Genomic DNA, 17,476 nt, shown 5'->3' on the forward strand with positions numbered 1-17,476 from the left:
CCCTGGATTTTCTTAATTTCCCACACAGGTAGCAAGAAATTTTTCTTGCAGACTCCTAATATAAGCATGAAAATATTGTTGTGCCCCATTTTATTGTTACCATTAATTTAATGCTGGTACTATTTGTTAGAGTGAATAAAATGCATATTTATTTGGCACATGTTTGAAACTTTTTCATTGAGAAAGGTTGGTGATTATTAACACATGTTGTCTCAATAATTAAGAGGTAACTAGGTCATTAAGAACTCATTAATCTTCAGAAATTTTTATCCCACAGGATTTCATGTGAGAAGTTAGAGCTGGGAAAGAAATATGCTTTTCTCTTTGAAATGAAATAAAAGCCATTATAAAAATGGGCCTGGAATGTGGACTTCATTCAGTTTATATTTCAACTGCATAACAACTTACTACTTTAGAGTGTGTTCTTTCATTTAAAAAGGTGTCATATTTTCTAACAATGGTCTAGATATAAATATTTCTGTTAAATATGTATCAGAGTTGGCAAAAAAGTTATTGTCGTATCCATCTTAGTTTCATCTGTATTTGAGTAATAAAAACATTCTGTATTCCCTGTCAATTCCTTGTCATTCTCCGAGGGCTCTTCACACTTGCACGCCTTGTTTCCTACTCTTCTCTTTTTATGGAATTCCTTTTTGGTAAAAATTTTCTTTGCTACCTTTAACTTCTCCTCCAAGATTCAATGCTATTATATTGCTTCAAAACATAAAATCTTATTTCCTGAAATGTTGCACAACTGTAAGTTAAAGGTGTCTTAGCTTCAAAAGCAAAGACTTTCTTTTTGTTGAATACTTAGTACTGAGTGATCCTTTTTCTTACAGAGTTGAGGATTTTGGCATCTTGCTGAAGGCTTAAAGCCATTTCATCCAGGCAGTGCAGTAGACAGAAAAGCTCACAATGTTTTGCTGCAGAATGTTTTTAATGAAATAATGATCTTGGGAGATGTGAGGCTGACAGCTCAAGAGACAGAGATATCCTGATTAGCCAAAGGGCGAGCACAGCATGGGTCAACAGAAGGACACCAGCCTCTACTTGTGGCTTGGAGCAAATCGGCCCCAGTGAAAGTGCAGTCTGCCTCTTCACCCCATCTGCTAAGCCCAGGCAGCATGACCCGATTAGTACCAGCTGTGAGAGTGAGTGTTCTGATGGAGAGATAGTTCAACTCAAAGCTGAACCAACTCCCCAGCCTGCTTCCAGACAGCACCATTAGGCTGTAAAATCTCTGTATTCCTACTACCCTAATCAAGCCCAAATCAAAGACATACCCGGCAGCACATTACTTACTCTTTTGTCATCTTTTTTTGCCCAACATCAATAACGAAACCGCAAATCAAGTCTACTCAGTGTGCTATTTTGATCAAGAGGGGGGGAACAACCTTATCCTTTTATACTTCATAGTTCTAATTTGATTTTTGAAGGAGACAAATTTTCTCTGACAAACAGACATGATTATATAAAGGTTATTATGAAATCAATACATGCTGTTTTCTTAGTGCTCACATTAGACAATGGTCTATGGGAAATCTTTTTTTACAGAAAATGTTAATTAAAAAAATTTTTAGAGCCCCTGTATCTCATGCATCTATCTCTGAACTTCCAGGGAAAGCCAAGGGAAAGACATATACCTACAGTAAAATATAAAGGCACTATTCTATTGTAATGTGAATTGTGTCACCTGCAAAACCGTACACATCAGCAGCAGACACTTTTCTAAAAGAAGACTTACTTTGATATGCTCATTGTTTCCTTAGGGTGAGAAGTATTTGTATTAGTATTAAATGACTAATGAAAATATCTAATTTGAGAGAAAACCTGAGGCTTTAATTTATCAGGATGGCTAGCAATAATTTCAGTGTACATGAAAATGATTGCAAACCACATAAATATATCCCAATAAATCCACCATAAATGTATTCCCACATTAATTTCCTCTTAACTAGATCCCCCTAAAATGCCTACAGCCACTCCAACACCAGTGAACCTGGAGGAAATGTGATAGAAGGAAATCAGAGGGAATATCATACTCTTTTTAAATTTTTATGAAAATGTGAACATGTTAACAAAGTTTTAGTGTTCTTCTCAAGGCCATGGGAGGGTCTGATGTAAGAAAAGGCTCTGAAACTTTAAATTTTTCAGTTTTACAGTAAGTAGGTTTGCTTATGATTTTATATATGTGAAAGTTATATACTCAGGTAATTCCAGAAATTTCAATCCAAATATGATAGATCTGTTAACTTTTCAAGTATGCTAAGCAGTCTCATTGATAAGTACTCATTTCTCATCTACATCTTCAAAATATGAACTGGTGGAGGCAATGATGCCAACATTCCTCAGAATAGACTTCTCAGGCCAGTTCTGACCCTACCAGGGGGAACTTGGGAAGTCCTGTAGCATTAGCGCATGGACAAAGCTAGGCTGACTTGTAACGGGGAGACTAGATAGATCTTGCACTAAGGTCATAGGAGAAGATATACAGAGGGAGCCAGGTTTTGCCAGCGGATAGTTATCAGCATCTAGGAGCAGGCAGAGTTACTGGCAGATGAACTAACATCCAGAGGTCTCAGATGGCCTGTGAGTGAGTTGTCAATGTCTGGGCAGCACAACAGAGAACTGAATCAGGTGGGCTTGCTAGAAGAACCAAAAAGAATTGGAGGCACAAAGTTGGAATTGGGGAACAAGCATGGCCTCTGGTTTCCAAAGGTTTTTCTCCCAAGACAAAGTCTGACATGGTGAAATAGGTAAAAGCCCGTTAACAGAATTTGAGTTCAACATAAATGTGGGACTCAATGTCACTGCACATTAATTCACTGGATCCTTGTTTGAGTCTCCGGTACTTGAATGTCTGCCTTTTGAGCTGATTGGAACTGCCTGCCTTTTGAGCCGATTTAAATAAAGGGTTCTAATTTATTCCTGTTAATTCATTTACTAATGAATTAACATATATATTCAATACATATACATTCAATAAGTATGTATTTAAATGCTTAGTATGCCAGACATTGCTCTAGTTACAAAATCCCTAACCCGTAAAGTTTGTATTCTAGTGAGAAGGCATACAAACAAACTAAATAAATCATTTCAGATGACTGACAAGTGCTATGAAAAAAGTGGCCATCATATACATCATGGAATACTATGCAGCCTTAAAGAAGAATGAGTTCATGTCCTTTGCAGGGACATGGATGAAGCTGGAAACCATCATTCTCAGCAAACTAACACAGGAACAGAAAACCAAACACCACGTTCTCACTCATAAGTGGGAGTTCAACAATGAGAACACATGGACACAGGGAGGGGAACATCATACACAAGGGGGTGGGGGGCAAGGGGAGGGATAGCATTAGGAGAAATATCTAATGCAGATGACAGGTTGATGGGTGCAGCAAACCACCATGGCATGTGTAAACCTTTTTAACAAATCTGCATGTTTTGCATATGTATCCCGAACTTATAGTTAAAAAAAAAAAAAAATCCTGACCATAATGCCATAAGGCATGCCCAAGGTAGGGGGATTGTTTTCTCTAGAGGATGATCAGGAAAGGTGTCTCTGAAGAGATGCAACTCAAGCCAAGGCCTGACTGATCAGAGTTGGCCATAGGACAGTCTATGGGAATCGTCTTTCACACAGCGAAACAGAAAAGAAAATTTTGGCCTGTGATACGTTTTAGGAAGGAAAAAAACACTACTAAACAGGTAGCAGATGAGACATGATGTGATAGGAGAGAAATACAGAGAAAGAGGTATGGCATCAGAGCATGTGAGATTTTAGAGACCAAGTTAAGAAATAGGTACTTTAGTTGCCTAGGAAGTTATTGAAACTTTTAAAGTGGGAAAATAATAAAATTCTATTTATTTATTTTTTTGTTAAATTTTTTTGACATGGTCTTATTCTGTCACCCAAGCTGGAGTACAGTGGCACGATCACAGCTCACTGCAACCTCAAACTCCTAGACTCAAGCAATCCTCCCGCCTCAGCCTCCAGAGTAGCTGGGACCACAGGTATGCACCACCACACCCAGCTGACTTATTTCTATTTTTTTGTAGAAATGGGCTCTCACGCTGTTGCCCAGGCCTGTCTCATTCCTCACCTCTGAAAGTGCTGGGATTACAAGTGTGAGCCACTGCACCTGGCCCCTATTTATTCTTCAAAATGATCACTCACTCTAACTTCTGCATGAAAAATGTCAACATCTCTGCTTCCTATGTCTGAGTGTTTCCTCCTTCATTTCTGTTATAATTCCTCTAAGATAACTTCCTTCAGCTCAGCCCATGGAGTCCAGTTCTCTCTGGTTTGATTTTGTCCTATTGCAAACCAAGCCCAGTTCTGATGCTACAGAGAAATCCCTGAGCAAACAGAAAACCACTGAAGAGGAAGGACATGGCCGGGTGCAGTGGTGTCTAGCATCTGTTCCCCAGTGAGAATTTTGACAAATCCAAATTTGTTCAGAGGGAGAAAGAAATAATTTCTTATTCAGACTTCTGGGTAAATGTGACATAACCAGAGATCCTTATCTATTGCTTGGGTGGGGGTAAATGGCTGTCTTATATTAATTTTTCATTTAAAAAATCAAAATGCATCAACTGCAACTATGGTGCACATCATGTAATATCCTTCATTTCAAAAGGTGTCTCAGGATCTTTCAATATCACAGTTATAATTATGAACATGAGTGTCAACAAAAAATGGGTCTAGGTTCATGAAAACACATAATCATACGGCACACAGTCTTGAGGATAACAACAAACCAAACTCTCAGGCATTTGTGTATGAATAAGCTAAACTTTTCCAAATTCTTCTAGGATTGATAGCATATCAAAAGGTCTGTTAATTATTATATGGTGGGGAAAAATGAAGGTTTTTAATCTGCAAATTACACATTGATTCTAAAACTTTAAAATGCTTAGATTGTGTGTGTGCGTGTGTGTGTGTTTGAAGGCATGATTTAGCCTTTTAAATTTAGTCCATTACGTTGCACACTATGAACTTGCAAACTTAATAAAAAAGGAATGATCACACTTAGTATATATTAACAAACTGTAAAACTTGTTCAAGGATAGAATATTTAGCTCCAGCTAACAGAAACCCAAAACCAGATTAGGGTTGAAGGCCAAAAAGACAAAATGCGGCCTCCCTAAAGCCAGAGTGGAATATTGGGTGGAACAATGTGTATAAAGTATTGATGTTTTATATTCTCTGTACAGCAAGTTAATCCTATCAGGAATAAGTATTGATTTACATTTCACAGCTAACTTTCTTAGCTTCTGTCAAATTTAATGAACGTTGATGCAGATATTGATTTTTCTAGCAAAAGGAAATTAACGGGACATTGTCCAATTTTGACCTTTACTTAATGAGCCATGTATACATCAAAAGCCTTTTAAAACATGTTGTTGATCAGCCATGGAGCTTCAAAAGCAGTCTTCTGTACCCAAAATAAGAAGTAAAAATCAGACTTTTAATGATCCCCAAACTCATAATTACCGTAGAGAGAAAACTCAATAGAAATACAAAAGGGGGAGGTTCCCTTGCCACAATCTAGGCAGTGAGAAATCGTCAGTGGTTCACAGAATGTGGAAAATGGGCTATGTCTACTCATAATTCAAATACCGTCTTTTACAAGAACCTGAGAGGAATTTATTTCATAGCAATCCTGCATAAAACCTCTGGCCATGTACCTTTATGTCTAAAAATAAGTCCCCACACTTGTTTGTTTAAATCACTGCTACTAGAAGAAGCTTAACATTAGTTTTGATGTTCTTTGGACAAAAAATCAGTTCCAGATCATCGAATAGAAATCACATGCATGTCTTCTGATCTTCTGCTTCTAATTTGTTTCTTTTTTTTCCCCCTTTCCAATGTGTGCTTTGTCTATAGGATCAGGATGCATGGAAATAAATGTCTTGGTTTTCAACATAATTCCCCTCATAATTCCAAACAACGTACAGAAGGTGAAGAGTTAAAATCAAATGTTCCATTGAAGGCATATCTTGTTAATATAAACTCCAATAAACTTCTTTATTTTATAATATTGGATTTTTTAACATCAAACTGCTCAAAAGTAGTATCTATCACAAAATCTTGACCATAGGTTGTTATAGAAAAGCATGTGATAATGGTATTTGTTATAACATTATAACAAGATTTTGATAGCTTAAAATGGAAGTTATTATAGAACTACAAGTTCATAATTTTTGCTGAGTTAATAAATCTTGAAGCTTTCTGCAATGATTTGCTTGATATCTCTGTTTAGCTTAAGAATTTTTCAAACTCAATAGGTCCAAGGGCCAATGGAGTTCAGAGGTATCATAAAACTGGCCAAAGAACAGAGAACTAGAAAGTGGTAGAGAAAAGACAAACACAGGTGAACAGGTCACCGTTCAGGGGAGACACCAAGTCCCTTATAAAAGAAGGGAGGTCATTATCTGCTCTGCAGAAACAGTCAAGTGAGTTCTTTGACAACTGCATAACTCTGGTTTAAAATTTATAAAAAATGAAAAAATTCATATTATATATGGTTTTCAGATGAATGTCACCTAAAATGTATACCTGTAAATGAAACAGTGCATAAACATTTTCTTTCCTAAAATAAATCCATTTGGTCAGTGTTTATACTGTTTTGAATGCCAAGCTATAGTAGAATGAGGCCTAATGACTTTTATGAATATTCACAGATGATCATTCTTACTATACTCAAGAAAATATTGAGGGCCAGCTTTATCTAAAATTCCCTCAAGCGTATGTCCTAATTTTTTTTGCTCGAATCCTATCATGACTTCTTTTAAAAATCTGAGTTTTCATCGACAGTCCATATAAGACAGATAAAATTAAAACCAGAACGGAGGAGATGAACATCTTGTACAACTTCATGTGGCAAAAGATTCATAAAATTGAATAAGAAAATTATTTTTTTTCTGAGACGGAGTCTCGCTCTGTTGCCCAGGCTGGAGTGCAGTGGCCTGATCTCGGCTCACTGAAGCTCCGCCTCCCGGGTTCACGCCATTCTCCTGCTTCAGCCTCCTGACTAGCCGGGACTACAGGCGCCCGCCACCATGCCTGGCTAATTTTCTGTATTTTTAGTAGAGACGGGGTTTCACCATGTTAGCCAGGGTGGTCTTCATATCCTGACCTCGTGATCCGCCCGCCTCAGCCTCCCAAAGTACTGGGATTACAGGCGTGAGCCACCGCGCCCGGCCAAGAAAATTCTTTTAAATAAAAGACTTATCATCAAGACACTGACCTAATTTCAGGATCATTTCCCATTTCTGTCATCTACCTTATATCTAATACTGACTTTAGCTGTGTAAAAATAGTTGAAGTCAGTGATTCTTGACTAAGAAATTCCAGTCTGTATCTTGAATCACAGTCCTTTCAATTAGATTTCATTATATTTCCTAAAAAGTAGATTAAAAGAACATGCTTGTGTGGCGGAGAGATACAAAACAGTAGACACCAATTATCAAATGAGTTTTTAGAACAATTTTCCTTAGAAGTCTTAAAAATAGGTTAGGAAGTCATAGGGGATGGAAGAACTATGGTCTCTCCTGAAGCAGAGAATGGACTGTTTGACATCTTGAGATTCTTTCCAGTTCAGTGAGTCTGTAATTTTATTTCTTAAATGCACTAGCAATGTGTAAAGACCCTTTAAGAGTTATGGGATTGGGAATGATTTATTTTTATACTAATGATACATTGTGGTCACATGATGTTCTTCCTCTGAGGATCTTGGAGAGCTTTCTTGACATTTTCTAATTAACTTTCCTTGCATTTCTCAGAAGCATGCATAAGGCACATGTTATTATCCACATTGTAGGCATGGCAAAGCTGAGTGCCTAAGGATACAAAAAAAAAGTGAATCCTATACTTAAAAAGCCTGAATACTCAAATTAACAAAAGACTTGCTGCATTTCTTACTAAGGCAGAATTTACAGAGAAGGTGGCTGCACATAATCCTAGGTCTCTGAGAGATGAAAAGAGAAAAAACTAGCAATTTTGAGAGAACTGTCTGGAATCTTATGCATGGTCCTGGATCATCACAGTACGAGTATCCAGGGGTGATCCTGAAGGGGTGATTCAAGGGAAAAACCCAAATCAAAGCCAACGAATGGTACAAGTTATCTATAGGGTGGATTCCATTTACCTTATCTAGTTATTTGGTTGTATTTACAAAGTTGTAATTTTCCAAGTCCCATTAATATTTATTAAGAAGTACTGACAGCATGGAAAAATATGAATGTTAATTTAAAGCCAAGTTGTTGTGAACAAGGCCTCTTTCTGCTTGAATGTGCCACACACTGTAACTCAAATGATGCATTTCATCCTCACAATAATCCTCATGCTAATGTAGGAACTGAGGTTCAAACAAACAACTCCATGAAAATCGTAAGTATTTATTGACAGAGAATGTTTTTGCCTACTTTTATTTCTGACTCCCAAAACGTGAAATTTTCAAAGCATTTTTTAAGAGGGAGGAAAAGTAGTAATAGAGAAATATGTGTGGTTTTAGTATATTTCATTGTCTGTTTTTAAATTTGAGATAAAATTGTCACGAAAATATAAGACAAACAGGGAAATCTAATTTTCTGTTTCATTTGTTTATTCTATTTATTTTTTAAAGAATAAAACAAACTTGTGATTGAGGAGGAAACATATAATAAACAGCTAAGAATTATCCTGACTGAAATGCAGTGGAATCACACATTTTTTACCCTAAGTTACAAAGGCTTGGATCTTGTATTTATGCAGTGGTAAAAGAGGTAGAGATACACACAAACATAGCAAGGGAGACAACACAAGAGAGAAAGCATATAGATGAGAAAGAAACAAAGAAGGAAACAAAGAAGGAAGGAAGGAAGAAAGAGAAAGAGAGAGAGAGAGAGAGAGAGGGAGAGAGGGAGGGAGAAGGGAAGGGAAGGAAGGGGAAGGAGAAGGGAAGGGGAAGGAGAAGGGAAGGGAATGGAAGGAAGAGGAAGGAGAAGGGAAGGGAAGGAAGGAGAAAGGAAGGGAAAGAAGGGGAAGGAGAAGGGAAGGAAAGGGAAGGGAAGGAAAGGGAAGGAAGGAGGGAGGAAGGAGGGTGATAGACACATTAGATAGGTAGGTGGGGGGAGGGGGGAGAGGGGGGGAGAGAGAGAGGGGGAGGGGGCGGGGGGGAAGAGATGGGGAAGAGGGGGGGAGAGATGGGGGAAGGGGGGGAGAGAGGGGGGAGAGAGAGGGAGGGGGAGAGACAGGGAGGGGAGAGAGAGAGAGGGAGAGGGGACAGAGAGAGAGGGAGGGGGGACAGAGAGAGAGGGAGGGGGGAGGGAGGGAGGGAGGGAGAGAGGGAGGGAGAGAGGGAGGGAGGGAGGGAGAGAGGGAGAGAGAGAGGGAGGGAGGGAGAGACAGAGGGAGGGAGGGAGGGAGAGAGAGAGGGAGAGAGAGAGGGAGGGAGGGAAAGGGAGGGAGGGAGAGAGGGAGAGAGGGAAAGACAGAGACAAAGAGAAAGACAGAGAGACTTAGCTGTCAGAGAGAATAGTGTCCCTTTAAGTTTAACCCAGTTTCTCCTATAGAATAACAACTGTGAACTCAGAGCAAAATATAGACATCAACTGCTTGAAAGTTCCAGAGAGTGAATAAAGAGAGCCAAACTGAGAGTGAATAAAGAGAGTGAATAAAGAGAATTCCAGAGAGTGAATAAAGAGAGCCAAATAAAGAGAGTGAATAAAGAGAGCCAAATATAAAGAGAAATATTTAGAAAAAGGGAATTGTAATAGATAGAATTGTGTTCCCCAAAAGATTTGTTCAAGTTCTAACCCCTGATGCCTGTGAATGTATTTTCAAATATTTGTTTCAAAATAGGCCTTTGCACATATAATCAGGTTAGAATGAGGTCATATGGGAAAACTAGGTTTCTTATAAAAATTTGGCAATAGAGACACACAGGAAGAATGCCACATGAGGATGGAGGCAGAGATTGGAACGATGTGTCTACAAACTAAGGATTGCTGGGGACTGCTGGCAAACACTAGAAGCCAGGGAAAGGCAAAGAAGGATCCTTACATCGATTCTCCAGAGAGAGAAAGGCCCTGTTGACATGTTAATTTTGGACTTCTAGCTTCCAGAACTGTGAGAGGATAAGTTTCTTATGTTTTTAGTCACCATATTCACGGTAATTTGTTATGGCAACGCTAGGAAATTAATACAGTACTGATACATAGTTTCCTATTTTACAGTTTTTCCCAAGTGCAGTTCCTGGTATCCCACGTGAGACAGCTACAACTCCAACAGTAAAACCTCAACATTGCTGGCTTGATGAATCAGAACAGAGTTTTGGGCAACCATATTCCTTGAAATTGAAAGCACAAATTCCAGAAAGGAGAAAGTAAGTGGGGGAGGACCCTTAAAGTCTGTGTATACGATCTGCCTAAGTCTCTGGCTGACCCTTGCACAGCCCATGAATAATGCAAACTACAAGCAGCCCTGGTAAGACTAAAAACACTGAACTGAAATTTGAGCTGCCATCACCTACAAGAAGAAAAGAAAAACACCAGAAGTTTCATTTTGAGTGAAGCCAAGTTAACAGTTTGCAAAAACAAACACAAAACTCTTTAGAGGAATATAATAGGTCCAGAGTTTCGATGAGATGTCATTTACAATGTCCAGCATATAATTCAAAATGACTCAATAGAAGAAGAAACAGGAAAACATCAGCTATTCTATACAGAACAATGAACAGAGACCAAACCCAAGATGACACAAATCATAGAATTAGCACATAAGCAGTTTTTATTGATAGGCTCAAGGCGGTAAATGAAAATCTGCTCGAATTGATGCCCCCACCCCAAAAAAAAAATCCCAGTAGAGAAAAAGAAAATATTAAAAAAATCTAATGGAAATTCTGGAATTGAGAAATATATTTAAAGTTTTAAAAAAATCACTGGATGTGACAATTCAATAGAAATGAAAAACATGAAAAAAAACAGAAATCAAAAATGAGCAGCACCACAGGAAGTTGTAAGATGAACAAAAGATAAATCAAATATGTAGTTGGAGACTCAGAAAGAAAAGAGAGAGAAAATGGAGAAAATATACTAGAAGAAATAATGGCTGAAAATTCAGCAAACTGTATTAAAGACAAAAAATTATAGATTCAAGAAGCTTAGCAAACACCAAGCAAAATTAATACAAAGAAAATCTCACTTAACATATCAAACTATGGTATTTTCATGTTAATTTTAAAAGATCAATTTCTTTTTAAAAAACTACCAGAATTTTGATTAGGATTACTTTGAATTTTTAGAGAAAATTGAGAAGAAATGAAAACAATTTTGAGATTTTCAATGCATGAACAAAGTACATCACTCCATTTTTTTAGCTTTTCTTTAAATTCTCTCAGCAATGTTTTGGAGTTTTCAGTGTACAAGTCTTCCATCTGTTTTGCCAAATTTAGTCTCAAATATTTCACATTTTTGATATATTTAAATGTTTAAACTTATATTTCAATTTCCAATTAAATACTGATAGCATATACAAATAAAATTTACGTGTTGACTTAGTATTCTGTCACCTTGCTAAGATCACACATTACTTCCAAGAAGCTTTTTGTAGATTTCTTATGATTTTTCTATTTAGAGAATAATGTTGTCTGCAAATAAAAGTTTTATTTCTCTTTCCTAAGGCAGGGTGTGGTGGCTCATGCCTGTAATCCCAGAAGTTTGGGAGGCCAAGGCAGATGAATCTCTTGAGCTCAGGAGTTCAAGGCCAGCCTGAGCAACATGGTGAAACCCCATCTCTACCAAACCTAAAATTAAAAAAAAAAAATTAGCCGGACATAGTGGCATGCGCCTGTAGTCCCAGGTATGCAGGAGGCTGAGGTAGGAGGATTGCTTGAGCCTAGGAGGCTGAGGTTGCAGGGAGATATGCCACCGTACTCCAGCTTGGGCAACACAGTGAAACTGGGTCTCAAAAAAAAAAAAAAAAAAATTGAAAGTTGTATTTCTCCTTCCCAAACTGAACACCTTTTATTTCCTTTTCTTGCTTTATCTTTTTATCTTTATCCTTGCTAGGATCTCCAATAAAATGGTAAATAGAAGTGGTGAGACTCCTTGCTTTGTTCTGGATTAGAAGCGACCAGGCACGTTGGCGCATGCCTATAATCTCAGCACTTTGGGAGGCCAAGTCAGGGGGATCACTTGAACACAGGGGTTCAAGATCAGCCTAGCAACATAAATGAGACCTTGTCTCTACAAAAAGTAAAAAAAAAAAATTATCTGGGCATGGCGGTGCATGACTTTAGTCCCAGATACCTGGGAGGCTGAGGTGGGAGGATTGCTTAAGCCTGGGAAGTCAAGGTTGCAGTGAGCAGTCACTGTACTCCAGTCAGGGTGACAGAGAGAGAACCTGATGAAAGAAAAGAGAGAAAGAAAGAGAGAAAGAGAGGAAGGAGGGAAGGAAGAGAGGAAGGGAGAGAGGAAGGAAGGGAGAGAGGAAGGAAGGAAGAGAGGAAGGGAGAGAGGAAGGAAGGAAGGGAGGAAGGGAGAGAGGAAGGAAGGAAGGGAGAGAGGAAGGAAGGAAGGGAGGAAGGGAGAGAGGAAGGAAGGAAGGAAGGGAGGAAGGGAGAGAGGAAGGAAGGAAGGGAGGAAGGGAGAGAGGAAGGAAGGAAGGGAGAGAGGAAGGGAGGAAGGGAGGAAGGGAGAGAGGAAGGAAGGAAGGGAGGAAGGGAGGAAAGAAGGGAGGAAAGAAGGGAGGAAAGAAGGGAGGAAGGAAGGGGGGAAAGAAGAGAGGAAGGAAGACAGGAAGGGAGGGAGGGAGGGCGAGCAAGCAAAGCATTCTATCTTTCGCCACTAAATGACGTGTTACCTCTAATTTTTTCATAAATGTACTTTATGAAGGAAAGGTTAAAGAAGTTCCCTTCTATTTCTTGTCTGTTGAGAGTTATTTTTAAAATACCAAATGAATATTGAATTTTGTCAAATGCTTTTTTGTCTCTACTGACGTAAGTATTTCTTTTTAAGTTTGTGAATATAATGAATTAAATTGATCGAGTTTTTCACACATTAACTTTACATTTCTTGAGATAAATCCTATTTGGACATAAAGGGTTATAATTTTTATATATGGCTGAATGTAACTTAATTTTTGTAAGAATTTTTGAAACTTTGAGATATTGGTCTGTCCTTTTTTTATTTTTGTAATGTATGGGTTTCATTTTGGTATCTGGGTAATTCTAACCTCAAAAAAAAAGTTGGAATGTTTACTATTATCTTTTGCATTCTGGAAAAATATGGGTAGAATTGTAATTATTTATTCCTTAAATATTTGATAGAATTCAACAGTGAAAATCATTTAGTCCTGAAATTTTCATTTCAACAAGGTTTTAGATTACAAATTCAGTTTTTTAAATCAATATTAAGGCTATTTAGGCTATTTCATCTTGAATAAACTTTTGCAGTTTGTGTCTTTCAGTTAGTTTGTCCTTTTCATCTACAGTCATGTGTCATTTAACAAAGAGAGTAAGTTCTGAGAGATGCATCCTTAGTCAAATCTGTCATTGTGCAAATATCATAGGGTGTCGTTACACACACCTAGATGGTAGAGCCTACTTACTACACATCAAGGCTATATGGTATAACCTCTTGCTCCTAGACTACAAGTCTGTACAGCACGTTACTGTACTGAATATTGTAAGCAATTAGAACACAATATTTGTGTATCTTAACATAGAAAAGGTGCAGCAAAAACATGGAATTATAATTTTATGGAACTATCATTATATATGTGGTCCGTCATTGACTGTCATGCATTGCATGACTGTATATGGTGACATTATTCTGATAAGATTATAATACTTGAGTATTACCCTTGTAATATTTGTATTATCTGTAATGATTCCTTTTATTCCTGATAACTATTTGTGTCTTCTCCCCTTTTCTCTTAGTCTGGATAGATGTTTTCAATTACATTGATATTTTTGTGTAATCAGCATTGCTTGCTTTAAATTTTCTCTATTACTCTGTATTCTACTTCATTTATTTTTGTTATCTTTATTAACTTCCTTCTGTTTAATTACGACCTAATTACTCTTGGTTTCCTAATTTCCAAAGGTGTTACCTTAGATAATTGCTTTAAAATGTTTCTTCTAATATAAACACGTAATATTATAAATTCCCCTCTAATAACCTCTTTAGTTGCATTCCATAAATTCAAATATGTTTTTTTGTTTTTCAAAGTATTTTCTGTTTCCTCTTGTGATGTGAATGTGTGTGTGTGTGCATGCACTCATGGTGTTGAATAGGTTAATTAGCTTGTGATTAGTACATAATGTATGTGTATATATATACATATATATGATTATTACGTGTGTGTGTGTATATATATATATATACACACACACATATCTCAAAACATGAAGTTGTACACCTTGAATATATACATTTTTATTTGTTAATTTTACTTCAATAAAGCTGGGGGCAAACCCCCATCACTTTGCTTTTGGTTTTTAGTTTTACTTTGCTGAAATCATAAAGCATATATGATTTTAATCTTTTAACATTTATTGAATTTTATCATCCAGAAAATGATACAACTTGGTAAATATTCCACTGCATTTAATGTAAATTTGTATTCAGCTATTGTTGAGGACAGTGTTTCATAAATATTAAATAGCTCAAATCTGTTGGAAGCTTTACTGCTTACCATCGTTTTTTCTTTGCGTTACCATTGCCATAATTCCTGTTTACCTGTCTTCAAGATCACTGATTGGTTTTCTTTTGCTGTATCCAGTCTGCTTGTAGGCTAATTGATGAAATTACTTATTTCTGATATGGTATTTTTCATTTCTAGCATTTCCATTTGACTCCTTCGTAAAGTTGTAATCTCTCTGAAAGTCCTTATCTGTTCATGCATCCCATTTATCTCATCTACTATGCCGTTAAACAAATTATAGTTAGTTTTAAATTACTGTGTAATAATTCCAGCCACTAGATGATTTCTCAATCTGTTTTGCCTCTGGATTACTTTTGCCTCTGGACAATGAGGTTTTTTTTTTCTTGTTTTATTTTGTCTCTCCTAAGTTTTTGTTGAATGGTAGACATGGTGTACAGACAGACTGATATAAAAAGGATTTATTCCTGGAAATGGGCATGCTTCTTTCAGGTCATTGGTACACTTGGTTCAATCATTCCAGTAGCTGTCTTGTGTTTGGTTGTATGTTGCTCTAGTTAATTTCAGTCTACCAGACTTCAAGATTCTCCAGTGGTAGATGACTGTTACTTTTACTTACTGTGAAGCCTGGAGTCCTAAAATCTTATCTTTGTATTCCTCCTCCACCTCCAGCTTTCAGCAAGATCTCCAGCCACACTCTAGCCCTTTCCCCAGGGTATATTGCTGCTGACTTTTACTTGGTGCAGGGCTTGAGGTAGGGGCAGGTGTGTTTCTCAGCTCTTCTGTTCCAACATCAGTCTTCAGCAGGCCATGAGCACCTGAGCATCAAAGAATGAGATTTCTCAGCATTTTTGTTCCATTCCCACTGTAAAACAAGCTCTGCTTTCTCCTCAAATGCACAGTCTAAAGAGTGAGTACCACACCCCTATTCCATGCCAGTCAAACTCTGCCCTATATTGATAGGTGCTTCTGCTTGAATGCTTGTGTTCCCCCCAAAATTCATATGCTAAATCCCAATGACCCATGTGATGATATTTGGAGGTGGGGCCTTTGGAAGGTGATTGGGTCTTGAGTGTAGAGCCCTCACAGTAGGATTAGTGCCCCTCTAAAAAAGAGACTCCAGCAAGCTCATTCACCCCTTTCACCAAGGACACAGTGAAAAGATGATCCCAGGAAGCAGGCTGTCACCAGACACTAAATATGCTGGTGCCTTGGTCTTAGACTTCCCAGCCTCCAAAACCATGATGAATCAATTTCTGTTTTTTATAAGCCACCCAGTCTGTGGCATTCTCTCATAGCAGTGTAAACGGACTAAGACAATGGGGGTATTTGGAGAGAATGACTTTTCTGCCTCTCCCTAGCAAAAGAAGACCTCTACCCTGTACCAATCCAGAACCCTGGGTACCAGTTGGTTTGCAGTCCCTCTGTATTAGTAGATGTTTTTGCATAATATCAGTGCACTGTAGAGGTAGATTTCCGTCAATGATAGCAGACCTATGCCTAAAATCAAGGTAGAGACTGGGAAAGTAAGAGGATATCTTTCCCTTTCTCCAAAAGCAAATAGCCTTTTTTTCTCATGTCTGAGCAGGGTCTGAGGTGGGCAGGAGCAGCTGTTCATCATCTTGTAATCATGTAGCTCTTGGAACATAGATAGGCTTCTCCAGGTAACTCTTCTCCATGTTTAAACAGAGGCAGGATCTGTACACCTGTGCTACCAAATGGGTTCATGATTTTTGTGTATGAGTTGTTCTTCCTGGACAATCCATCTGGACATTTCATTTCTTTCTGCCCTATATCATGGTAAGGTCACAATCGACCACATAAATGGTATCAGACTTTAACGTGTTTCATATAATAATTCAATTCAGAAACATGAGACAGACTACTTTCACATCACAAATTTAAACCTCCATCAAAACCCTCTTTGTGTCTATCAGTAATGTTTATCTGCATTAACAGATGTGCTAAGATTTTAAGGACAGGTATTCTGTCTTGAGTCCCTTCTAGTCCAAAAGTGAACTGTATTTGTTTCCCTTCCACCTTTAAATTTTTGTGTTGCATATATTTATGGGGCACAACATGATCTTTTTATAAATGTATACATTGTTTAATGATTACATCAAGCTATTTAATATATCCATCACATCACACTTTTTTGTGGTGGGAAGATTTGAAATCAACTCTCTTAGTAATCTTCAAGTATACAGTATACCATTATTAATTATATTCACCATGCTGTACAATTGATCTCTGGAAATTATTCATTCTAATGAAACATTGTCCCTTTGATTAACATCTCTTCATCTCCACTTTTACAAAAGTGAATTGCACTTATAAGCCATCAAAAATGTTTATTAAATGAATTTGAAAATAATGGGAAAAATGAGGGTTTCATACTAGCAGTTCTCTTTTCTTTATTCCACTCTTTTATGTAAACACCCAGTGGAATCCAGTGGACAATGAGTAGTAAGTGGGCACACTTTTGAGTGATGCTTCTGGAAATCTTACGCTACTATTTTAACCCATACTCAGTCTTTAATCACTGGCTAATATTTTAGTTGTGGTTTCCTTGCCTACTTTTATAGCAGCTGCCTTATGTCCCCATACTTGCCAAAGATAAAATATCCATGTGACCTACCTCTCCTTGCAGGGTCTTATTACTTTTGGGATTCAGTTCATTAGATCGCCTCTGATGTGAGCTTTGTGATGGGCTAAAGAATATGAATTTTAAAAATTAGACAGCTTTTTCTTATTATTATTTCTCTGTAGCTTTCTACAGCCTTAGTAAGAATGAAAATAAGTGTAAATTATTAACAAACACAT

The 17,476-nt window shown here is 37.6% G+C and overlaps 1 long non-coding RNA gene across 1 annotated transcript in view; it reads right to left on the bottom strand.

Moving 5' to 3' along the window:
* The window catches only part of LOC105374976 (uncharacterized), a 289,589-nt gene extending 274,116 nt beyond the window's left edge, over nt 1-15,473 (bottom strand). The window contains exon 1 of the long non-coding RNA XR_001744046.2: nt 15,273-15,473. This is a non-coding gene — a long non-coding RNA (uncharacterized LOC105374976). The remainder of the gene's footprint in view (nt 1-15,272) is intronic.
* Between the last annotated feature and the right edge of the window lie 2,003 nt (nt 15,474-17,476).

This window comes from Homo sapiens, chromosome 6 (assembly GCF_000001405.40).
Source record: "Homo sapiens chromosome 6, GRCh38.p14 Primary Assembly".
Taxonomy (NCBI): Eukaryota; Metazoa; Chordata; class Mammalia; order Primates; family Hominidae; genus Homo; species Homo sapiens.